A 23,914-nucleotide genomic window follows, 5' to 3' on the forward strand; every position below is an offset into this window, starting at 1 on the left:
ATTTATCAACTGCCCATTCCAGCTGTAGGCTATTTATATGATCTCTAATCTTCACCAAAACCCTGCAGTGTAGGAATTGCCATTCCCACCTGACAGAGGAGGCTCAGAGAGGCGAACTCACCCGCCCAGGGTCACACAGCAATCAGTGATGAAGCTAGGATAGGCCTCAGGGCTATGCCTCCTGCCTATGACACTGTCCCAAAGTGCAACCTGCAGAATGAAACGGTGCGGAATTGATGGACGGGAGCTAACAGCCACAGCAAGGCGGCTCTGGGCTCTTTTCTGGGCGGTCTGAAGCCTTTCAGCTCCTTAGCCAGGGTCCTCCTGGTCTTTCTAAAACCAAGTGTCCTGGGCTTAGAAACCCAAACTATGAGAGGGCAGTGGAGGGAGCAGGAGAGAGTCCTGTTGCTAGAGAGGGTGCATCCCCCCACCACTTGAAGTATGAAGTAAAGGTGGCCCCTGGGGCTTCTAGTACCTGTCAGGGCACAAGGTGGGTCTTCTGGGAGATGAGGTGGAGGTGTGGGGGGAAGGAGGAAGCACCTGAAGCCAACGTAAGGTGGAGCCTCTTGGAGGAAGGTGGCCCTGCCTAAAACCCCCCTGCCTAGGAGGCCACAGTCCTCCCAGCTAGAGAATTCCCTTCAATTGCTCAGGTGAAACCAGAGGTGGGGCCCAGGCCGGCTGAAAGCTTTGATCTTATCACACATTCCTGCCCTAGCCATCCCAGTACCCCCTCCTCGACCCCTACCAGGGAGGTGGGAAGCCAGACTGACTTAATTAACCCTTTCCTCCCATTTCCTCAAGTCGAATCCAGGCTTGAGCTGATGTTTCCCCCATCCCGCCCCCACCCCGACCCCAGAAGGCGGGGAGGGAAAAAAGAGGGAGGAAAGTGAAAAGCAGGCACCCCAAGACTGCGCCCTTCATTTAACCCACTCAATGCCAGGGAACCCCAAACCTGGGCTCTGTTGGCAGCTTCCATTTCTCCTAAATGAAAATAACCAGACTCAGCCGGGCACGGTGGCTCACACCTGTAATCCCAGCACTTTGGGAGGCCAAGGGAGGCGGATCACCTGAGGTCAGAAGTTCGAGACCAGCCTGACTAACATGGTGAAACCCCATCTCTACTAAAAATACAAAAATTAGCTGGGCATAATGGCGGGCGCCTGTAATCCCAGCTACTCGGGAGGCTGAGGCAGGAGAATCGCTTGAACCAGGAAGCGGAGGCTGCAGTGAGCCGAGATCATGCCATTGCACCCCAGCCTGGGCGACAGAGCAAGACTCCGTCTCAAAAAAAAAAATAAAATAAAATAACCAGACTCAACATAAATAGCCCTCGCTATTTTGCACATCCATGAGCTCATCTGAGACTCACGATAAAATCGGCCTGCCCTTCTCTCTGCTGCTGTGGGCCCTCCCCCTGCCCTCACCCAGGGGAGCTGGCTCCCAGGTCCTCTCCTCCCACAGGCTCACTGCAAGGGAAACAGACTCACAAATGAGTGCTGAGACCAAGTCACAAAGACTCAAGAGATCTCCCAGAGGTCTGGTGGCCCTGAAATCCTGCTATAGTCCTCGAGTGTCTTCCTTGAATGTAGCCTCCTTCTCCCTACTCCTTTACCAGCTGGCCCACCACTCAGCCTCTCTCCCCTATCAGACCACAAGCTCCATAAGCCCACGGTGGTGTTTAGATCCAACACAAGGCCTCGCATACCGCTGTCACTCCGAGAATGTTTGCCGAATGAATGAACGGTCCCATTTTGCTTCTGGGGAAAATTAAGCTCAAAGAAGTTCAATGGCTTGGGATCACGTAAGAGTTTAGGAATCTTGTGACTCCTAGTCACACTTTCTAAACAGACATTTACAATGAATGCCCCTGATGTCAGCTTAGCAGCAGGTACCCAAGAGCAGAGGTGAACTGACATGGACAGAGCACGGCAGGAGAGATTCTGGGGCTACACAAGAAGACAGGACAGGCTTCAAGGTCTAGGGCACAGGGGCCATCTCCTTCATCTGCTTCCCTAGCCCAGAGCCTGGCACTTGGGAGCTGGGGTTATGCCTCCATTTCCCAGATGAGAAGTAGCTCATGGAGCAGGGAATAGCCAGGCGCAGAGGAAGGTGGAAGCTGCCTCCAGCGTCACCAGACATCCTGGAAGAAATTGGAGGCATGGTCCCTACTCTCCGGATGCCTTGGATCTTGTTGGAGAGGCAGGACTCGTAAGCTATAAGTGCCCAACACAACTCAAAGTCCAGAAAATAACAGTGTCAGGGGAAGGAATCAATAGCGTCAATGAAGGAAGACATGGGATTGGTGATATGGTGGGCTCCTTGAGGTGCCTACCACCCTCAGGCCCCAGAGAATGGAACACCACCAACTTTTGGGGGGTAGTGAGCAGTTTTCTCCAAGAACTCAGGGTCCCTTTCTTCTGCTTGGAAGACGGCCAACAAACAAGAAAGGAGCCCATCTTGTGAGTAGGAAAACTGAGGCCCGGGGAGGAGAGATGGTAGCTGACTGGTGACCAAGTGGAGGCCCAGGCCTTAACCTCTTGCCTCCCTGGTCTGACCAGCAATGAATGTCACCTCAGCTATCTTGGGGACTTCCTCTTATTCTTTCCCAACCTTAACGACTCTGGCAGCAAGCGAGTGTCTTCCTGCTCTTGCACATGCAACAACAATGTGGACAATGTGAGTCCAGGGACAATGGGGACAACTCCTGGACCCCTGCCACAATGCTTTCCTCCTCTACCAGCCAAATCAGACTTGCTCTTTAAGCCCCATTTCCTCTAGAAAGTCTTTCCAGATAACTCATGCCCAATCAGTCTTTTCCTTCCCCTGACACTCTGCTATTGTCTGGACTTTGAGTTGTGTTGGGCACTTATAGCTTACGAGTCCTGCCTCTCCAACAAGATCCAAGGCATCCGGAGAGTAGGGACCATGCCTCCAATTTCTTCCAGGAGGTCTGGTGACGCTGAAGGCAGCCTCTACCTTCCTCTGCGCCTGACTATTCCCTGCTCTCTGAGCTACTTCTCATCTGGGAAATGGAGGCATAACCCCAGATGTACAGGGGGATTGATAACACAGATCAAACAATGAGCGCGATGTCAGGCGCACAGCAGGTCCTCAGGCAGCACTAGCTGAATATGTGAACAAATGAGTGGACAGAGGGATGGATGGAAGGATTCTTGAAGCTTCCACTGCACAGGGCTGTTGAAACAACACAACGCGGGACCTGGATGTAGATTTCATCTCGCAGCTGAGCCATGTGCTTCTCTGCCTTGCATTTCACCCAAGCCCCCAGTATGAGGGGGACACAGGGCTGGCTCAGAGCAGGCCCCGCTCAGCAAAACTCACTGAACTCCCAACAGGGCAAAACCTGCAGGCCCCACAGGGAGCTTGGGACCTGACTGAGAAGAATCAGGGTTCCCAGGGGTCTCAGTCACAGGGAAGGTCACATCCATCTCTCTGGGGAACATTATCACTGGGTTGAAATGGAAGCCAAAGGGTAAAAAGACACCCGAGTCTGTGAAGCAGGAACTGGCAAAGCCCATGTGGCAGACATGCAGCCTCCTATAACCCTCTGCCAAGGCCAGCCTGGACCCACCTTCTCCACACAGCCCTCCCAGACTTCCTCTGTCTGGACACAACAGGACCCACTGAGGAAAACAATGATGACTTGGGAGTCTGACAACCTGGGCTCCATTCCCAGGTGTGGCACGTACTGGATGGATGAAGGGCCAGCCATTCCCTCTATTTTTTTATTTTTATTTTTTTTTTTGAGACAGTCTTGGCTCACTGCAGCCTCCGCCTCCCGGGTTGAAGCAATTCTCCTGCCTTAGCCTCCCAAGCAGCTGGCACTACAGGCATGAGCCACCACGCCCGGCTAATTTTTGTATTTTCAGTAGAGATGGGGTTTTACCATGTTGGCCAGGCTGCTCTCGAACTCCTAGCCTCAAGCAATCTGCCCTCCTAGGCCTCCCAAAGTGCTGGGATTACAAGTGAGAATCTGGCCCCCAACTCCCCCTCCTGATGCCTCAGTTTCCTGCCCTGCAAAATGGAGATATAATGCCAACTTCAAAAGATTGCTGTGAGTATTATATGCGATAATGCCTGGCAAGAGCCCAGTGGGAGGCCTGGCTCTAAAGAGGGTGGCAGTTTTAATGAGAAGGTGTCAGCACTCAGGGAACATTGACTGGTGACCTATGTGACTGAGGCCACTGGGGAGGAGAACCTGCAGGTCCCAGGACAGGGAAGAGACTGGTCTGTCCCCAGGAAACTCCTGGGTTTCTGTTCCTCTGGCCTAAGGGTCATAGCAAGGCAAAAGGCAGGAAAGGGTGAAGAGCCGTGAAAGTGATAGAGGCTGCTGGGCGTGGTGGCTCACACCTGCAATCCCAGCACTTTGGGAGGCTGAGGCATGTGGATCACCTGAGGTCAGAAGTTTGAGACCAGCCTGGCCAACCTGGTGAAAGCCTGTCTCTACTAAAAATACAAAAATTAGCCAGGCGTGGTAGTGCATGCCTGTAATCCATAATCCCTGCTACCAGGGAGGCTGAGGCAAAAGAATCGCTATTGAATCCGAGAGGCAGAGGTTGCAGTGAGCCGAGATCGCACCACTACACTTCAGGCTGGGAGACAGAGTGAGACTCAGTCTCAAAAAAAAAAAAAAAAAAAAAAAAAAAGAGAGAAAGAAAATGATAGAGTAGAGGCCACTAGGGCTGGGATTTATCAGGCCAGAATTTCAATCCATCCAGCCCAGTAAGGGATCCAAGAAGAGGCATGATCCCAGTTCCCAACTATTTGAAAATTGGAAACGCCAAACAAGGAGAGGGTTGAGTCAGCTGGGGTTAGTTAGGAGGGGGAGGCCAGGACCAGGAGGTGGGGGCCGGAGCCGGCTTCCTGGGAGAGAGCCATGGGCAGGCGCAGGGAGTGGGGAGGTGGTGGCAGGGACCCGGAGGTGGGCTGGGAAGGGGCCAGAGGCAGCTGGGAATCCCAGCCCCACCCGTGGAGAAGCATCTGTGGAGTGACCCGAGGCCACCTCTGAAGTCCTCCCCAGGCTCAGGCCCCAGCCAGGCCTCCCCTTCCCCACCGACTGGGATGGGAGAAAGATGGGGAAAGAGGCCAAATGTTACAAAACACCTAGGTGTGACCCGCCTGATGGGGAGGGGGGACACATCTCTACCCAACAGCCCAAGCCCAAAGCATAGGGTGGGGTGGGGTGAGATCCCCAGGCCTGTGTGTCTCTCTCTCCTGAGTCCTGCTGTTTCTCTGAGGCCACGGGAGCCAGATTTAGAGTCGAGCAGCCCCACATCCCACCAAGTAAGGACCAACTGCAGGTTGGCCCAGAGCTCCCCAGGCAAGGTCCTGCCTCCTCCAGTGTAGGCCAGGGGGGGACAGGGCTAGGATGGGGTCCCAGGACATCCCCCACCCCCCCCACTGTCACTACCCTCAGGATGCACGAACATCCTTTCTGCACCCATGGGAGCCCCTGGCCACACCTCCTGTTGCTCAGAGCCCACCAACTGCACACATCTGGGAAGGGGACAAGGCGTCCAAAGACTCCAGCCTTTCCCAGGCCACACCCTGGGGTGTGCCCCCCTCCTTCTCCCAGTCCAGGAAGGAGCAATCAGGGTGGAAGGATGGACTCTGTCCTACAGCTGCGGCCTCGGTAGGCGAAGGAGGGGCAGTGACAGATCAGAGGCAGTTACACCCGGAGCTCTGAGACTGCGAAAGAGGCCCAGGGAATGGACAATCCCCTTACACAGCCATTCATTCAACAAGCCCAGTACAGGACCTGGGTCATAGAGAAGGCGTGCCCGGCTGTGCCCTGGGAACCCTGCCTCAGATATTCCACCGGCCTTGTCTTTAGCAGGAACGAGACTTAGTGCAATCACGGATTGTCAAATACCTGCCACATTCCAGGCACTGAGCAAGGTGCATCCACCTGGTTACTTCATAACCACCAGGAAGCAGGCCTCCCCATTTCACATTTGACTGAGGCTCAGAGAGGTAAAGCAACTTGCCCAAGGTCACAGAGCCAGTCAGGGCTGGGCCAAGACTTGAAGGCAGGGCCTTTTGAGCCCACATCTTTCCCTTGACCACAGTGCCCAGGGAAGTGGCTCTGAGACCAATGAGGACACAGACAAGTCAAAAAGGGCAGAGTGGACATCCCAGCTTGTCCCACATCTTCTGGGGCCCTGCAGAGAGCATGGCTGGGCAGGCAGCTCCCAAGTGCAGGGGCCAGAGCACGCCCCTTTCCAATCTCAGCAAGGAGCCTGGGCCTTCTTGGCCTGCTGGCTTCCTCAAAGCCATTAATTTGCTCACTTGAATTTGTTTGTTTGTTTGTAGTTTTGAGACAGAGTCTCGCAATGACGCCCAGGCTTGAGTGCAATGGCATGATCTCAGCTCACTGCAACCTCCGCTTCCCAGGTTCAAGCGATTCTCCTACCTCAGCCTCCTGAGTAGCTGAGACTACAGTCATGCACCACCACACCCGGCTAACTTTTTTGTATTTTTAGTAGAGACGGGGTTTCACCATCTTGGCCAGGCTGGTCTCGAACTCCTGACCTCAAGTATCTGCTCACCTCAGCCTCCCAAAGTGCTGGGATTACAGGCGTGAGCCACCGCGCCCATCCTTTATTCACTTGATTTTTTTTTTTTGAGATGGAGTTTTGTTCTTGTTGCTCAGGCTGGAGTGCAATGGCGCGATCTCAGCTCACCACAACCTCCGCCTCCCGGGTTCAAGTGATTCTCCTGCCTCAGCCTCCCTGAGTAGCTGGGATTACAGGCATGTGCCACCATGCTTAGCTGATTTTTTTATTATTATTATTTTCAGTAGAGACGAGGTTTCTCCATGGTGGTCAGGCTGGTCTCGAACTCCCAACCTCAGGTGATCCGCCCGCCTTGGCCTCCCAAAGTGCTGGGATTACAGGTTGTGAGCCACTGTGCCCAGCCTCACTTGAAGTTTTAATGTGTTCACCTACTATCTGCCTAGCACCAGGCAAACAGCAATGAACAAAGCCAAGTCCCTGCCCTCATGCAGCTTCCACTCTAGATGAGGGGGTAAGAATAAATCTACAAGCCATGAGCTCCGGCTGTGGAGTTCTAAGGCAGAGTCTGCAACTCCACAAATGAACACTCAGCAAGATCCCCTCCGCCTACACCATAAGCCAATGCAGAGGCCCCAGCTTGGGTGGGGACGGGGGAGCTCCTGGCTGGAGATGGGTAGGGGGATGACTGCCAGGCATGTGAGCCAGTCCAACCCCCACCCATGCTGTCCCCTCCATCACTTGCCATTCTTTTTTCTTTTTTTTTTTTAAGAGACAGGATCGCGTTCTATCACCCAGGCTGGAGCGCAGTGGCAAGATCATGGTTCACTGCAACCTCCACCTCCTGGGCTCAAGTGATCCTCCTACCTTGGTCTCCCAAAGTGTGGGGATTACAGGTGTGAGCCACCACTCCTGGCCCACCTGCCGGTTTTTTTTTTTTTTTTTTTAGGAATTTTTATTGTCCAAACAAGAGATCGTAAGAGAAGACACAAATAAATTAACTGTTCTGAGAATTCTGGACTCCACCTCCTGCCCACTCCTCCTGGAACTTTCCCATCTCAGGTAGTGGCAGCTCCATCCTTCGGGATGCTGAAGCCAAAGACTGTGGAGGCATCCCGGACTCTTCTCTTTCTGTCCCGCCCCACATCCAACCCACTAGCAAATCCTGGTGACCCATCTTCAAAATGTACTGGGGATTCAACCATCTCCCACCTCCGTGGTCCTAGCTTGAGCTCCCATCGTCTGTCCTGGGTCACGGCCTCCTTGCCTTTGCTCTGGACCCTCCCCGTGCTCCTCTCCACACAGCAGCCAAAGCAATCCTATGGAACACCGGGCCCCTTCAGTGACTTCTCAATTCACTCAGACGCAAATCCAAGGTCCTTCCCATGGCCAAAGCTCTGCTGATCACCCTCTGCCACCCCCCTGCCTGCTGCATCCACCATGCTCCCCCTCACTGATGCTGCTCCAGCCCCACGGGCCTCCTTGCTTTTCCACAGACATGCCAAGGACACTCCCACCTCTGGGCCTCTGCACTAGCTGTGCCCTCTGCCTGGAATGCCCTTTCCATTGATATCTGCGAGGCTCACCCGCTCACTTACTTCAGGTCTCCTTCAGTTCAAATTTATCTTATCAGAGGCTTTTCCTACCACCCCACCCTACCTACCCCGCCTCATCACTCACTGCCCTCTTCCCTGTTTTATTTTTTCTTCTGAGCACTTATCACCACCTGATGTATTTCATTTATTGTCTGTCTTCCTGCACTAGCTATAACGCAAGTGACATGAGAGGAAGGAATCTGACATTTTTATTCTCTGCGGTAACCTCAAGATCTAGAACAGGGCGGGTGCAGTGGCTCACGCCTGTAATCCCAGTGCTTTGGGAGGCCAAGATGGGTGGATCACTTGAGGTCAGGAGTTCAAGACCAACCTGGCCAACATGGTGGAACTCCATCTCTACTAAAAATACAAAAATTAGCTGGACGTGGTGGCGTGTTCCTGTAATCCCAGCTACTTGGGAGGCTAAGGCAGGAGAATCTCTTGAACCTGGGGGGCAGAGATTGCAGTGCGGCGAGATCATACCACTGCACTCTAGCCTGGGTAACAGATCAAGACTCCATCTCAAAAAAAAAAAAAAGATCTAGAACACAGTCAGATACATAGAAGATGCTCCACAGATATTTGTGAAATGAATTTTAAAAAACGCTTAATCACATACATCATTTGTTCATTCATTCATTCAACACACTCTGCAAGGCTTTGCGCACCAGATACTCCCCTAAAACCCAGAGCAACAGGACACCCTCCTTCATGGCTCAGGGAATGGGCCCTGGTCAGGAGCTAGGAGCTGGTCCTAAGGCTATCTCAGGATGCCACAGATGCCTCCAGGGATGCTCTGAGGTTCCTGCAGGCCTGGCACAGATGAGCATCATGGAAGGGAAGGGAGAGTGGTTCTGGGGGCAGCAAGACTCAAAGGCCTCACATTCCCAGGCCTCAAAGAGCCACCTTGTTCTCAGGGCTTTCATGACAGCACCCCCGACCCGGCCACCCCAGCAGCCACGAGCCACACCCCTCTCAAGGCTGCTATTGACACAGCCCTGACGCCACCAGGCTGGGCAGTGAGGCCGGCGGCTCCCCGCGAAGTGAGTTCCACACATACTTCTGGGTTTCAGTCAGCCAGCTCTGGGTGCTGGGGCAGCTGGCCCCGGGAGCAGGAGGGGGTGGCAGGGCCAAAGAGGCCAAGGCCCAGGCGGAAGCAACATTCCAGCAGGGCCGGGACCCTCGGCGCAGCCTCCCTCTTCTTGGCAGGAGCAGGAGCGAGAGGAGAAAAAGGCCAGGGTAGGCCCTGGGACAGGGAGAGGTAGGCCCAGCAGATACTTGGGAAGCTGCCGGGGAACCAAGTCATATTCACTTCCTCCTCCAGTCTGACCCCTCATAGCTGGGACTGGATTGGGTGAAGGGGAGGGGGGCAACAGGCCAGGGCTGGGAACCCTTCCCATATACCCCAAGTAGTCTGAGGGTGCAGAGCCCACACCTCTGGCCTCCAAGTGGCCTCTGAATCATTGCTCCAGATCTTTCCATAGCCTGGGCAGGCCCTCCTGCCCTCCCTCCTGAGCCTCTCACCCCAAGGCCAGGCAGCCCTTGAAGCTCTGCAGACTCACCCTAAACCTTGAGCCCCCAGGGAACAGCCAGAAAAAAACAGCGCAGGCTCCACACAGGACAACCAGGAGGGTGTTCTTCCCCTTCCCCCACTAGCAGCATGGCAGGGGCAGGGGCCCCTGACCTCCCACACTGGGCAGGGCCAGCCTGGCCCACTCAGGCCTAAAAGTCCCTGGATAAATTCAACTGCCTGTAGAGTCCCAGGAAATATCTGATGAGAACATTAATGAATTAACAAACCTAAAAATGACCACCCTAGAGTTCCTAGGCTTCCCCTCCAGGCACAGGCGTCCCTAGGAGACCCCACGGACACTGAGGCATACCCAACCTAAGAGCTTCTGTCCCCGAGCCAATCCCTGATATTCCTTGCCTGAGGTAGCCCCTGTACTACTTGGGACCAGAGTTCTTAATCAACATCTGTGACAAGTTGTAGCAATATCTACTGACTGCCCACGACAAGCACATGGGGCAGTACGTGGCGTGATTAGGAGAGCTTCGTCTGGATTCAAAACTTGGCTTGCAGCATCTCTGAGTGTGTGGATATGTAAGTCACTGGGCAAGTTACGTAACCTCTCAGTGCCTCAATGTCCTCTGCTTAGAGAATGGGGATCAGGCTAGTAGCTACAGCTTAAAACATTCGACAAAGATATTCACTAAGCACTTACTACCTGCCAGGTGCTAAGCATACAGCAGTGAACAAAAACAAATGAGGTCCTGCTCTCGTAGAACTTAAACTGAGCAGGAGGAAGCAGATAAACACATAAACAAATACAGACAAATACAGGCCAGACAATTGTGAGAACAAAAATAAAGCAGTTTAAGGAGACAGCCATTATGGGAAGAGTGGTAAGGACCAGAAAGAGGGAGAGGGTCATATGGATATTACGGGGACAAATGTCCCAGGCAGAAGGAACAGCAGACGCAGAGACCCTAAGGTGGGAGTGTGTTTCACATGCTCAAGAAACAAAGCCTTGGTCAGGCGAGGTGGCCCATGCCTATAATCCTAGCACTTCAGAAGGCTGAGGTGGGAGGATAGCTTGAGTTAAAGAGTTTGGGACCAGCCTGGGCAATACAACAAGATCCCATCTCTATTTGTTTTAAATTTTTATATTCATTAGAAAAGAAAAGGCTGGGTGCAGTGGCTCACGCCTATAATCCTAGCACTTTGGGAGGCCGAAGGGGGTGGATCATTTGAGCCCAGGAGTTCGAGACCTGCCTGGGGGAACATGGCAAAACCCTGTCTCTATAAAAAATACAAAAATTAGCCAGGTGTAGAGGAGGGTGTCTGTAGTCCCAGCTACTCAGGGGGCTGAGGTGGGAGGATCACCTGAGCGTGGGAGGTTGAGGCAGCGGTGAGCTGTGATTGTGCCACTGCACTCCAGCCTGGGTGACAGTGTGAGACCCTGTCTCAAAAAAAAAAAAAAGAAAAGAAAAAGAAACAAAGACTGGTATAGCTGGAGGAGTTTGAGAGGAGCAGGTGGCAGGAGGCCGGGTGTTGCAGGGCCTCGTAGGCTATATTAAGTCAGGGGCTGGGACCTAATTCTGAGCACCGCAGGGAGGTGGTGAGCAGGAAACACAGGTGAATGGGAGGATTCACTGAGAAACTCAGAGCAGACAGTGGGTACTGGGTAAGTCTGAAGTACCCGTATTACTGTGTCATCATCCAGCCTGGCACCCCAAGAGCTCCTTCCCCTCCACTTTGCTCACCCGTCTTCCGGGCCCTGAACCCAGTCACCTCCTGCCACCTTCTTTCCACCGTCTCCCGGGCAGGGCTTCAGACCCACAGATCCTAACTTGTCTGCGCTCAGCCTGAGAGCAGGCCCGGGCCAAGCCAGGCAGGGGCCACAACTCCCCAGACAGGGGGAAATGGGCCTAAGGGATGGGGGGGTGGTCCATCTCTGCCCCTTCCAGCTTCTACCCTGCAGACAGACCTGCAGCCTGCCCTCCTTCCCTCCGGGAATGTCCAGGGCACACTCAAAACCCCATCCTGTGCCGGCTGCAGGTACGGAACAAGTAGGCTAGTGTCAGGTGACAGAGCAGCTGGCTGCGTGGAGGAGGGCTGAGGGACCGCCAGGAAGGGGAGGCTCCTGCAGTTCAGCTGGCAGCCTCCCCAGTGAGGAAATCCAGCTGAGGCAGGAAACAGGTATCTCAGCGACTTCCCTCCTAGGCCCTGGAAAACACCTTAATCACCACCGAGGCTCCCTCAAGACGCCTGTCCCCTGCAGGGCCGCCCTAAAGGGGTCAGCAGGCCAAGGCCTGCCGAGTCACCCAGGCCCAGCCCCCTCCTCCAGCAAGCCTCCTCACCTCCCAACAGCTGAAATTACACCCACACTTAATCACAGATCAGCTTCCTGTGGTCCTGTCCCCCGTCCCGGGGAAGCCTGGAGCTCCCTAAGGCCCATCTCACCCTGCTGCTGTGCCCAACCCTTCCCCATAAGCCACTGGCTCCGGACCAAACTGAAGGGCAGATGAGAGCAAGGGTAGCAGGCAAAGAGGGTCCAAGGTGTGCTGGGAGCCTGGGCTAGGAATTGATCTCATTTTTGACTTGCAACAAACTCCTCAACCCCATTGTACAGATTTGGAAACTAAGGCTCAGAGAGAGGAACTCGCCCCAGATCACACAGCCAGAAACCGCAGCCCAGAGACTCATACTTGGGTCTGTAAGACTTCAGAGACAGGCCAGGCATGATGGCTTATGCCTGTCATCCCAACACTTTAGGAGACCGAGGCGAGAGGATCGCTTGAGGCCAGGAGTTTGAGACCAGCCTGGGCAACAAAGTGTGATGCCCTCTTTTTTTTTTTTTGAGACAGAGTCTTGCTCTGTCGCCCAGGCTGGAGTGCAGTGGCGCGATCTCGGCTCACTGCAAGCTCCGCCTCCCGGGTTAACGCCATTCTCCTGCCTCAGCCTCCGGAGTAGCTGGGACTACAGGTACGTGCCACCATGCCTGGCTAACTTTTTGCATTTTTAGTAGAGACAGGGTTTCACTATGCTGGCCAGGCTGATCTTGAACTCCTGACCTCATGATCCGCTCGCCTCGGCCTCCCAAAGTCCTGGGATTACTGGCGTGTGCCACCGCGCCTGGCCCCGAAAAACTTTTTATTGTTTGTTTGTTTTGAGGCGGAGTCTCACTCTGTCACCCAGGCTGGAGTGCAATGGTGTGGTCTCAGCTCACTGCAACCTCCGCCTCCTGGGTTCAAGCGATTCTCCTGCCTCAGCCTCCCGAGTAGTTGGGATTACAAGCATGCGCCACCACACCCGTCTAATTTTTGTATTTTCAGTACAGATGGGGTTTCACTATGTTGGCCAGGCTGGTCTCAAACTCCTGACCTCGTGATCCGCCCACCGTGGCCTCCCAAAGTGCTGGGATTACAGGCATGAGCCACCGCGCCTGGCCTGAAAAACTTTTTAAAAAGAATTTTATAAAGAGACTTCAGGGGCCAAGCTCTTTCCAGCCCACCACCAGCAGCCTGGGGTGGGACAGCGACCCTCCATGTGTTGCTGAGAAGGCTCTCTAATCCCACAGGATTGGAGCTGCCTGTTTATTTGTCTAAATTACCGCCCACCAGCCTGTGAGTGCTGGGAAGGCACAGACAGGGCCTGTCCTTGCTGGTCCAACCCACCCCAGCCCCTAGCACCACACGAGGTTCACTGGTTCACTGGCACACAGTAGGTGCATGGCAAATATCTGCCCAAAGAATGAACCTCTGTACTCCCAGTGACTGCCATGGAATGTCGCTCAGTGATGATCTGTTGAATGAACAAGTGAATGAGATGATCTGCCACGGTCCAGGAATGTCTGTGGAAATTCCTCATGCACACAGCAAACAACTCCACCCACCGCCATCCTACCGCACCCGGGCATGGAGGAGCCCCTCATCGGGGGCAGAGCTGGGGGAAGGTCAGGAAAGACTGTTGGGCCTCGGAAAACATCCCACGTGCTAGGTTGGTGCGTTGGGAAAAGTAAAAGTCAGTGCCAGGAGTGCAAGTTCAGGTCAAGACTAGGGAGCTACTGGATGGCCCTGCTGAATATTTTGGGGTGAGAGGCTGAAACAGGAGGACGACAGAGGAGGCTGCCCAGAGTGGGGATGGGGGAGGAGAAGTGCTGGGTGGGTGGGGCAAGAGCAGTGAGGAGCCAGGTCTGGGTGGGGGCTTGACGAGTGACTCAGGAGGGTAGAGGTGCGATGAAGCCAGGAAGGTGAGGCCAGGCAGGCAGTTCCTGGGTAAACACCAGCCTGGTTAGAAAAGTCCCTCTCTTGGCTCAGAGAACAGGGAGGCAGGTATGGGGACTGCCTAGGAGCACCTCGGAGAGAGTGGGGGTGGCTCTGTGGCTCCCCACGGTAGGCTCGGCTCCCCAGATGTGCCCCCACCCACATCTGCCACTAGCTCCCTGCCCACCGACCCCACCCAGTCCTCCTCAAGTTCACTCAGGTCCTCAGGGCCTCTGCTGGCCAAGTGCCTTCTAAGCCTCGGGATTCCTGACCGTAGAATTCCCTTTTCCTCCACCTAAGCTCAGAGTAGGGGACTAGACTGCAAGGGCAGGCCTCTCCCTGCCTCTTGGAGACCTGGGAAGAGGAAAGCTGGGGAACTCGGGTCCCCCAAGGGTGCACTGCATCCCCGCACCACGCACTTTGCAGCTCATTCCACGCAGTCCAGCAACGCCCTGCAGCTATGCATTTTGAGGCCGTGCATTTTGAGTTCCCTTGACCCACGTGGGGCTGGCCTCAGAGAGGTTAACTAGCGTGCCCCAGGTCACACAGTTACTCAGTGAAAGGCAGGGATTGATTCAACTCTTCGGCTGTATGACTCCAAGGCCCGTGGGTGTTCCACACAAGCTTCAGTTCTGTCCCAAAAGTTTTGCTTGTGCCTACCTGGGTCCAAGCTCCCCAAGGTGATAGACGGTGTGGTAAAGTTTCAGCGAGACTCATAGGGTCCCCATCACCACTGAGTGGCCGTTCTGCCAAGCTGGCGCAGAAGGGTTCCCTCGTCCTGCCAAGTTCCCACCCTGCTCAAAGTTTCCCCTCCTGGTCCCCAGGAATGGTAGGCCGGACCATGCCCAGCGAGACTCCAGCACTCGGCAACGTGGCCGAGAGACCCACGGGCTCCCACACGGGCCAGCCCCGCCCCCAGCCCCACGAAGGGTCCTGACTGGTGGCCCCCCTGGATTAGCCCCATGCCGCAGGGTGGCGCCGGCCCGGGGTCCCCGGCGGGCGCCGCCGTCCCGGGCCAGAGTCCCCGCCGCGCAGCCTTGGGCGCCCCAGCCAAGTTGGCGGGAGGCGGCGAGCGGGACCGGGGCGCCCCTAGCCCCTCCGCCCCCGCCCCCCGCCCCTCTGCCCCGCACACTCACCGCCAGCAGCCGCCCGTGCAGCAGCAGCGCCAGCAGCAGCGCGCCCGCCGCCCGCCACCCCATGGCCCGGCCCGCGCCGCTCTCTCGCTCGCTCGCTCCGCGCCGCCCGCTCCGCGCCGCCCGCAGCCGCCCGCTCGCCGGCCAGCTCGGGACAGCGCGGCCCTCTCCCCACCGCCCCCTTTCCTCCCCGCCCGCCCCGCCCCCGCAGCGCCGGCCCCGCCCCCGAACCGCCCCTCCCCGGAGCGCCAGGCCCCGCCCACGGACCGCCCCCGGGCCGCGGGCTCTGCTCGCCCCAGCCGGCCGCGCAGCCTACTAGGCCTTTGTCTGGGCCCCCAGCCCCCTCCGCGCGGGCCGCGGCCCGGCCCGGCTCCCCGCCAAACCCGGCCTGGAGTATGGGATGGGACGGGGCGGGGGACCGGGGGCCCGGGCCCGGGCATGGGATGGGGCCGCCGGGCCAGGCGCTCTCGCCTCCCCGATCCCCGGCTCCCCCGCTTCCCCGCGCGCGCCGCCGACTTCCACGCCCCTGCACGCCCCGCACGGCCGACTCCACTCGCGCAGCTTTTGAAGATCCCGGGATCTCCTTCCCACGCTCACACGCACGCAGCTGCCGCTCCGCGCCACACGTGCACGCCAACTTCCACACCCAAGAACACCTTCACACCATAACTTTACTGCACGAACACACTTGTGCGCTACCCGGGAACACTTTCACACTCTGGACCCAACTCTGAAGTACCAACAATCCTCACCGGCTCACATGCACACTTAACTCGCTTCCAAACTCTCACCTCCACCAGGGACACAGGAGACAGCCCTCACACCACACTCAGCCCCTCACTCACGCATACATCCCAACAAGTCACGGAGCGGGAGGACGCCTTTTCACATAGATTCCTCGCAGGCACGCACATTTCACACACAGGCCCACATCATTGCCTACATGCTTACCAGCTTGTTTTTTTTTTTTTTTTTTTTTTTGAGAAGGAGTCTCGCTCTGTCCCCAGGCTGGAGTGCGGTGGTGGGATCTTGGCTCACTGCAACCTCCGCCTCCGGGTTCAAGCAATTCTCCGGCCTCAGCCTCCTGAATAGCTGGGATTACAGGCGTGCCACCACGCCTGGCTAATTTTTGTATTTTTAATAGAGATGGGGTTTTTACCATGTTGGCCAGGCTGGTCTCGAACTCCTGACCTTGTGATCTGCCCGCCTTGCCCTCCCAAAGTGATGGGATTACAGGCATTGAGCCACCGCACCCAGCCTCAGCCTGTATCTTTTACCTGTTCTCACCCACTAATCACAGTGCCTCATAGTGGGCACTGGGTACTGAACTGAGCTGCCCACCCCACCTGCACCATTTTCCATGTAAATCACTCACACACCAACTTTGAGTCACATAAATCACAGCCCCAGAGCCAGAACCACACCAACTCACACACTCAGGCCCAGACAGACAGACCCTGCCAAAGCCCCATCACAGATGCTCGGGTGGGTGGTAAAATCACAGCCCCATGATCTGTCTCTGACCCAACCGCAGGCAGCAAACAGCACCAAGCCCCCAGACCTATTCACTGCCTACTCTTCAGCTCCCCTCTTCTGCCTGAAATTTCCAGGGCAGCCCGAGGCTGATGGGTGGAGAGGAAAACTATGTGTGTGTAGCTTTGAGGAAAACCTTTTGAGTAATGATAGAGGAGGAGAATAAAACTGAAGTTTCCATTGTTTCCTGTGAGAGTTGCTAGGTTCCAGAAACTCATGGCTGGGTTTGCAGCCAGGAGTGAGGTGAGCTGTGGACAGAAGGAAATGCCCAGCTCACTGGGCGGCACCAGGCCTGGCTCCGGAAGCTATGTTCCCTGTGATAGGGGTCCGCAGGCTCCCAAGCACATTGGGGCCTCTCATCCAGGCATCTGGGGGATTGAAAAAACACTGGCATCCTGACCCCCATCCCAGATAGATCCCCTATCTCCAAAAGATATCTCCAAAATATGCCCTGTGGGGCATATTTCTGTGGGACCAGCTCAGAGTTGTAAAGAACAGAAATTGCATCCACGGTAGTCAGGCCAACTGCCTGGCCCCAACCCAGGCTCCAGGCACAGCACTGAATAAGGTCTATCTCTGATCCGCACAGGGAGATAGGGGTGGACAGAGGAGGGACGCCCAATCTTGGCCCTCAGTAAACTCTTAATCTGATAGAGGTGTGGGGAAGAATAGTCCCTGTCCGGGTATTGTTCTCAGTCTGATAGAGAATCCTGCCTCCACCACCTAGCCGTGCAATCTTGAGCACATGATTCAACTTCCATGTCTCAGTCTCTGCATGTAGAAAATGAGAATAACGTTAAGACGTCTCTCTTAGTGTTGTTATGAGAATTAAGATAAATTAATATATTTCTTTTAAAAAACACAGCCATTTCAGACACTTGGTAAGCATGAAATAAGTGGTAGCCATTTCTCTTATTACTATTTCTGGTGTGCTCCCAATCTAAAGAGAGAGACATGACTTGGCCCTTGGGGAGCTGAGGTCTGATAGAGGAGCAGCCTCCACAGCCACCCCAGGGACCTCCCATTTGAGGGGAGAGTACACCAGGTTTGCACTTGGAAACTCCCTGTCCGATGAGAAAGGCTTCAAAACTCCACTGACTTCAGAGCTGGCAGGTGGCCAGCCCTAGTGGCAGGATTTTTCCAAGGCCTTGCCTGTCCATGGATTTGTCAGCATCCGTGACAAATCGCATTTCATGAGCTGCCTCAGTGTCTGTTCCCTACCTCGGGCCCTTTAAGTACCAGAGCTTTGGCTTCTTGGATGATTTGCTCATGAGCAAAGGGGGAAAAAAAGGGAAACAAGCAACCCTTTGTAGATGTTTGGTCAAGACTAACCCAGAGCTATAAGTCTTCCTTCCTCAAAGGGGTTGAGGAAAGAGATGGTAAGGCCGACTAGGGACTGGAAGGAGCTGGGCTGACACGCAGAAAGCAGGAATATATGGCATGTTGAGAAAGTCTTCCAGGGCGGCTCCAGCAGCGGAGGATTGGTCATCCACCTATTTATTCTGTGTCCTCTCCTTCCCACTAAGGGATTTGCCTGGGTCTGTTTTAGTTTGCAGTCCTTGATATCTTTAGCAAATGCTCTCAAGTTGCTTTGTCTAGAGCCTGGCTATCTCCTCATATGGCTAAGAAGAGGAGCAGGCACAAGGCCTTCTGGGCTTGGCAAAACCTTGGAGGCGCCCATAATCTCACTGTATGTACACAGAGTTCAGGGTGCTGGTCACACTCGAGGAGAGAAACAACTCAAGTCTCATACAAGGTTCCCTGGGCACGGAGAGACTACAACAGCTTGGATAGGCAGAAATAGTCAAACAGCTTGACTTCTGAGAATAGGTGTTGGGGGTTCTGGAACCAGCAGCTGGAGTTTGTGGCTTACCTGTCCACTCCTCCAAATTCAGTAGGACTCATCTTCTGGCTTCCACTCCCATTCCAAATCTTTTCTCTGCCTGAGAGCTTATCATTCATCTTAATCACATTCCTTTGTCCATTCATTCATTCATTCAGGGCTGCAGTGGACAGTTGCGCAGGTTGTTCACTGAACAAAGGTGTGCAGCCAAGTGGGTAAATAGGAACTGTAATGGGCCCTGTTGTGGGGCTACATCTGCCCAGAATGGGTACTTTTTTTTTTCTTTTTGAGACAGAATCTTGCTCTGTTGCCCAGGTTGGAGTGCAGTGGCACGATCTCAACTCACTGCAACCTCTGCCTCCTGGGTTCAAGCGATTCTCCTGCCTCAGCCTCCCAAGTAGCTGGGATTACAGGCACATGCCACCACACCTGGCTAATTTTTTGTATTTTTAGTAGAGACAGGGTTTCATCATGTTGGCCAGGCTGGTCTCGAACTCCTGACCTCAAGTGATCCACCCGTCTCGGCCTCCCAAAGTGCTGGGATTACAGGCGTGAGCCACTGCACCCGGCCCAGAATGGGTACTTTTTGCTGATATGAGTGAAGGCACTGTAAGGCTAGCTGTGGCCCTATATTCATTCAATAGTGAAACTAAACACTGCCCACGAGAGTTTCTATGTCCATGTGGGAAAACAAATGCTAATAGAGTAACAATATGTCCTTGGGTGAAAATGAAGAGTCAGAAATTGGTGTGAAAGAGAATTGAGATGGAGGAGAAAAAACAAGAAGATAGTACTGAAGAAGAGGAGGAAGAGGAGGCAGGAGGTGGGTCTAAGCAGGCAGCAAAAGTTCCCATGGAGAGGGCGGGGACCCCACAAGGCCTGGCATGATCTAGTCCTGCCCATCAATCCAGCCACAGCCCTTCCCCACCATAGTCTTTGCAGATGCTGTTCCCTCTCCTAAGTGCTTTTCCCAGTTAACACCCATCCCCCTTCACTCTACTCTCCCTTAAGATTGAGTCCAAACATCACATGACCACAGAAATCTTCTCTGACCTCCCAAGCGAGGTCGTGTTCCCCACCACACTTTCCCACAGCGCCCCCCCCGCCATGCTTTTCTTGTAGCATTTTTGACCATTGTAATTATTTGGAAGATCATTTAATATTATGAGGCATAATGAAGGCAGAGGGCATGAAGGTCTTGTTTCTGTCTTGGTCCCAATTATATCCCCTGTGAAGAGCACAGTGTGTGGCACAGAGTTGGCATTTGGATAATTGTTACTTAAATGAAAGAACAAGACATTAGTTCAAACGTGGCACACAGTGTAAATGTCCCTGTTCTGGTTTGTGCTTGGAACAAAGATAAACCCTGGGGAGCAGGCAAGGCAGTACATTTTATTATTCCCCTCCCTTTCCAGCTGGGAAAACTGAGGCCCAGGGGATGAAGTGGCTTGCCCAGGTCATGCAGTCAGTAAGAGGTAGAACCAGGATTCATGTCCATGTCGGTCTGATTCTACAAACTCCCATTCTCAACCACACCCATTCTGCCTCCCTGTGGGCTGTTCTCAACTCTGGCCAGGCACAAGTGCGCTTCTCCCAGCTCAGGCAGAAGCGTGAATCTTCTGAAAGCTCTTGTATTTGACCCCCTGCCCCAACTTGATGTTTCCCCACTACCCTTCATCATTATCAATTGCTTTCTTGGACTGGGGTCCCAGGCCCAAGGCAGGGTTCCCACACTGTGCCTCATGGGTCACCTGCAATCTGAGATGCTCTTTGAAAAAGAGGTTCTTTGGCCAAAGAAGTTTGGGTACCCTGCACTCTTTCCCACACTTTGACCACCTCAAGGGACACCAAAGCAGGAAGGGTTTTGAATAGGCCTCCAGTGAAGTCGCCTGTGCAACTGTGTTTAATCCAGCCTTCCTCAACCTCTTTGAGAACGGAACCCAGTGGTTTTTATGGAAAATCCTTTTAAAATCTTATAGGGCTGAGGTTTCTCATAACACTTTGCGAATGCTGCCCCAGAGCCTGGCTCCTGAGCTGACCATAGATGGTCTTTATAATTTGAATTTGCACTCATGGCTCTCCACTCCCACCCCTCCCCTCCAGCCAGGCTGGAATTCTTACGGCTCCGTACACACTCTCACATTCCTGCCTACTAGCCCCTACTTCAGCTATAGAAGACTTCTCTGCCAGGCTCGTGGTTAGAGCTCCATAAATGCTCCTTTCCCTTCCCTCGTCAGTGTAGACATTACGCATTTGATCTCACTGTGTATATTTCCACGCATATGTACGATTTCATGTCTTGCTTTTCTCACCGAACATTTTTTTTTTAGTCGGAGTCTCGCTGTGTCTCCCAGGCTGGAGTGCAGTGGCGTGATCTTGGCTCACTGCAGGCTCCGCTTCCCGGGTTCATGCCATTCGCCATTCTCCTGCCTCAGCCTCCCGAGTAGCTGGGACTACAGGCACCTGCCAACAAGCCCGGCTAATTTTTTTGTATTTTTAGTAGAGACAGGGTTTCACCGTGTTAGCCAGGATAGTCTCGATCTCTTGACCACGTGATCCACCCGCCTCAGCCTCCCAAAGTGCTAAGATTACAGGCGTGAGTCACCGTGCCCGGCCTTTCTCACTGAACATTTTTTAGATAAACACGTTCTATGTGTCAGGAAGGAACAGAGCTACTTAAAAATGAGCCTGTGGTGCCAGCCCCCAAACTGTTTATTACCAGTCTGAGATGAGATAAAGAGCTTGCTCCAGGTGTAAATCAACTGTTTCAATAAGCACAGCTTAGTGACGGTTTAGCTCAGTTGAAATTTTTTTTTTCCTGGCCATTCTTGTCCCATATTGGAAGCAGCACATAGATTTATATTCTGGTGCAAGCTCTTTGTGACGGATGGTGCCATGAACAATTCCTGGGCCAGCTACTTTGAATAGCATTGACATTGCCTTTGCGATGGCTCATGCCTGTAATTCCAGCACTTTGGGAGTCCGAGGCAGGCGGATCACCTGAGGTCAGGCATTCGAGACCAGCCTGGCTAACATGGTGAAACCCCATTTCTACTAAAAATATAAAAAATTAGCCGGATGTGGTGGCAGGCGCCTGTAATCCCAGTTGCTCGGGAGGCTGAGAAAAGAGAATCACTTGAATCCGGGAGGCAGGGGTTGCAGTGAGCCGAGATCGTGCCATTGCACTCCAGCTTGGGCAACAAGAGCGAAACTCAGTCTCAAAACAAACAAACAAACAAACAAAAAAAGACATTGCCTTTGCACACAATATTTCTTTCTTTCTTTTTTTTTTTTTTTTTTGAGATGGAGTTTCGCTCTTGTTGCCCAGGCTGGAGTGCAATGGCGTGATCTCAGCTTACCACAACCTCTGCCTCCCAGGTTCAAGCAATTCTCCTGCCTCAGCCTCCCGAGTAGCTGGGATTACAGGCATGCACGACCATGCCTGGCTAATTTTTGTATTTTTAGTAGCGACGGGGTTTCTCCATGTTGAGGCTGGTCGCAAACTCCTGACCTCAGGTGATCTGCCCGCCTCGGCCTCCCAAAGTGCTGGGATTACAGGCGTGAACCACCGCGCCCGGCCTGCACACAATATTTTTGATAATCATTTGGTATCATGTCTTATCAACACACTGCCATTCATTATGTGAATGATGGAAATGTTGGATATTTGGGCTGTTTCCAGGTCTTTGTTATTCACAAGGGCATTGCTATGAATGGCTGTGTGTGGGTCCGTGTGTTCACTTTGCAGCTCCCTCAGTTTTTAAGGACCACAAATCCAAGGCTAGGGAGGTGGAATGGCCTCCGCAGGGATACAAGTGGCAGAGAAAGGCCTCCCACCCAGGCCTCCTGACCACCCCCAGTCCCTTGTTCCTTCCTTCAGCCTGCACTGCCCTTCCTCCCAGACGGATTTTCCGTCCCTTTCATGATTTTCTTTGCTTGGCCGTGAGCTTTCTGCAGTGTTCCCGCATGTTGTCTTTTGGAGCTTGAGAGAAATCCTTTTGGAATGTCCTGTGCCTTCTCTCTCCGAGTTCCCGGCTTTGTTCAATTGTTCACCAGAAATTCCTGCCCTGTTGGGAGGGGCCTGGGAGGCTGTTAAAGAGTTTGCCAAAAATGGTGGTACCCGCTCAGGCACAGCACATGGCCGAGCCTCTTTGCTGCTCCTGCAGATTTCAGCTGAGAGAGGGCAGTGCGGGTGCATTTTGAGGTGCGGGAGGGTTGCCACTCAGGCCTCCTTTTTATGTTTCTTAGGTAGAGCAAGCAGGACCAGTCCTGTGTAGACAGAAGAGGCAGTAAGGGATAAAGGAGGGCCCAGGAATGGGGTGAGGGACGGGGAGGGCTGAGGCTTAGGAGAGTTAGGCCCATGAGGAAAGATGTGGGGTGGAGTGAGAATGAGGAATAGCATGAGCGTCTCTCTCTGGCACACACACCTTGGTAATAAAAAAGCTGCATTTCTTTTCATTTTCTTTTTTCTTTTCTTTTTTTTTTTTTTTATGAGACAGGGCCTCACTTTGTCTCCCAGGCTGGAGTGCAGTAGCATAATCTCAGCTCACTGCAGCCTCGACCTCCCAGGCTCAAGCAATCCTCCTACCTCAGCCTCCCAAGTAGATGGGACGAAAGGCGCACGCCACCACGCCCAGCCAGTTTTTGTATTTTCAGTAGAGACGGGATTTCGCCATGTCACCCAGACTGGTTCTGAACTCCTGAGCTCAAGCAATCCTCCCGCCTTGGCCTCCAAAAGTGCTGGGATTACAGGCTTGAGCCACCACGCCCAGCCAAAAAGCTGCATTTATTTTCTAGAGTCACAGAAGTGACATCAAACTGTCTGTTTGAAAAGGACCACACCAGATTTGTTTAAATATACAAAAAAATTTAATTTCATGCAGCTATACCCAATGATACCAAAGGATGCAGAGACCATTGGACTGGGCAACTGATACCATAGATGACCTTTGAGGAAATTTCTCCCTTTGCTTACTATTTACTGGAAAGAGCATGTTCCAGGTTTACTCTGCCCTGTTTAGAACACTGGTATTGTGGGGCAGCCCAAACTCATGTTAAATACCATCCTTGCTTTTCCTAATTTACTACATATTTTGGAGACCAAGATTTACTCCTCTTTCTCTTGGAATTTGTTTAATAAATAGTAAGAAAGAAACTGGGCCAGGTGCGGTGGCTCACACCTGTAATCCCAGCACTTTGGGAGGCTGAGGCAGGTGGATCATCTGAGGTCAGGAGTTCAAGACCATCCTGGTCAACATGGCGAAACCCCATCTCTACTAAAAAATACAAAAATTAGCCAGGCGTGGTGGTGGATGCCTGTATTTACAGCTACTTGGGAGGCTGAGGCAGGAGAATCGCTTGAACCTGGGGGGCAGAGGTTGCAGTGAGCCAAGATCACACCATTGCCCTCCAGCCTGGGCAACAGAGCAAGATTCTGTCTCAAAAAAAAAAAAAAAAAAGAAGAAGAAGAAGAAGAAGAAAAAGAAAAAAGAAAAGAAACTGCACTTT

General features: G+C 53.5%; 1 protein-coding gene across 5 annotated transcripts in view, besides 7 other annotated features; it reads right to left on the bottom strand.

Annotated features, from left to right (window-relative positions):
- Positions 1-15,189, bottom strand: part of HSPG2 (heparan sulfate proteoglycan 2) — a 115,067-nt gene extending 99,878 nt beyond the window's left edge. For all 5 annotated transcript variants that reach the window (NM_005529.7, XM_047419090.1, NM_001291860.2 and 2 more), the window contains exon 1: positions 15,034-15,189. In NM_005529.7, the coding sequence (NP_005520.4) occupies positions 15,034-15,096 (63 nt within the window). In that variant the 5' untranslated portion in view covers positions 15,097-15,189. The remainder of the gene's footprint in view (positions 1-15,033) is intronic.
- Positions 380-919: an enhancer, noted in NCBI's record as "H3K27ac-H3K4me1 hESC enhancer chr1:22248994-22249533 (GRCh37/hg19 assembly coordinates)". NCBI's record gives its function as "activates a minimal SCP1, AML or CMV promoter by ChIP-STARR-seq in naive H9 embryonic stem cells {active_cell/tissue: H9 hESC(naive)}" and the evidence as "EXISTENCE:reporter gene assay evidence [ECO:0000049][PMID:30033119]".
- Positions 5,582-6,138: an enhancer, noted in NCBI's record as "H3K27ac-H3K4me1 hESC enhancer chr1:22254196-22254752 (GRCh37/hg19 assembly coordinates)". NCBI's record gives its function as "activates a minimal SCP1, AML or CMV promoter by ChIP-STARR-seq in primed H9 embryonic stem cells {active_cell/tissue: H9 hESC(primed)}" and the evidence as "EXISTENCE:reporter gene assay evidence [ECO:0000049][PMID:30033119]".
- Positions 6,139-6,693: an enhancer, noted in NCBI's record as "H3K27ac-H3K4me1 hESC enhancer chr1:22254753-22255307 (GRCh37/hg19 assembly coordinates)". NCBI's record gives its function as "activates a minimal SCP1, AML or CMV promoter by ChIP-STARR-seq in primed H9 embryonic stem cells {active_cell/tissue: H9 hESC(primed)}" and the evidence as "EXISTENCE:reporter gene assay evidence [ECO:0000049][PMID:30033119]".
- Positions 9,422-10,184: an enhancer, noted in NCBI's record as "H3K4me1 hESC enhancer chr1:22258036-22258798 (GRCh37/hg19 assembly coordinates)". NCBI's record gives its function as "activates a minimal SCP1, AML or CMV promoter by ChIP-STARR-seq in naive H9 embryonic stem cells {active_cell/tissue: H9 hESC(naive)}" and the evidence as "EXISTENCE:reporter gene assay evidence [ECO:0000049][PMID:30033119]".
- Positions 13,639-14,480: an enhancer, noted in NCBI's record as "H3K4me1 hESC enhancer chr1:22262253-22263094 (GRCh37/hg19 assembly coordinates)". NCBI's record gives its function as "activates a minimal SCP1, AML or CMV promoter by ChIP-STARR-seq in primed H9 embryonic stem cells {active_cell/tissue: H9 hESC(primed)}" and the evidence as "EXISTENCE:reporter gene assay evidence [ECO:0000049][PMID:30033119]".
- Positions 15,228-15,577: a silencer, noted in NCBI's record as "silent region_391". NCBI's record gives its function as "represses an Ori minimal core promoter by ATAC-STARR-seq in GM12878 lymphoblastoid cells {active_cell/tissue: GM12878}" and the evidence as "EXISTENCE:reporter gene assay evidence [ECO:0000049][PMID:35858748]".
- Positions 22,458-23,175: an enhancer, noted in NCBI's record as "H3K27ac-H3K4me1 hESC enhancer chr1:22271072-22271789 (GRCh37/hg19 assembly coordinates)". NCBI's record gives its function as "activates a minimal SCP1, AML or CMV promoter by ChIP-STARR-seq in naive H9 embryonic stem cells {active_cell/tissue: H9 hESC(naive)}" and the evidence as "EXISTENCE:reporter gene assay evidence [ECO:0000049][PMID:30033119]".

This window comes from Homo sapiens, chromosome 1 (genome assembly GCF_000001405.40).
Source record: "Homo sapiens chromosome 1, GRCh38.p14 Primary Assembly".
NCBI lineage: Eukaryota > Metazoa > Chordata > Mammalia > Primates > Hominidae > Homo > Homo sapiens.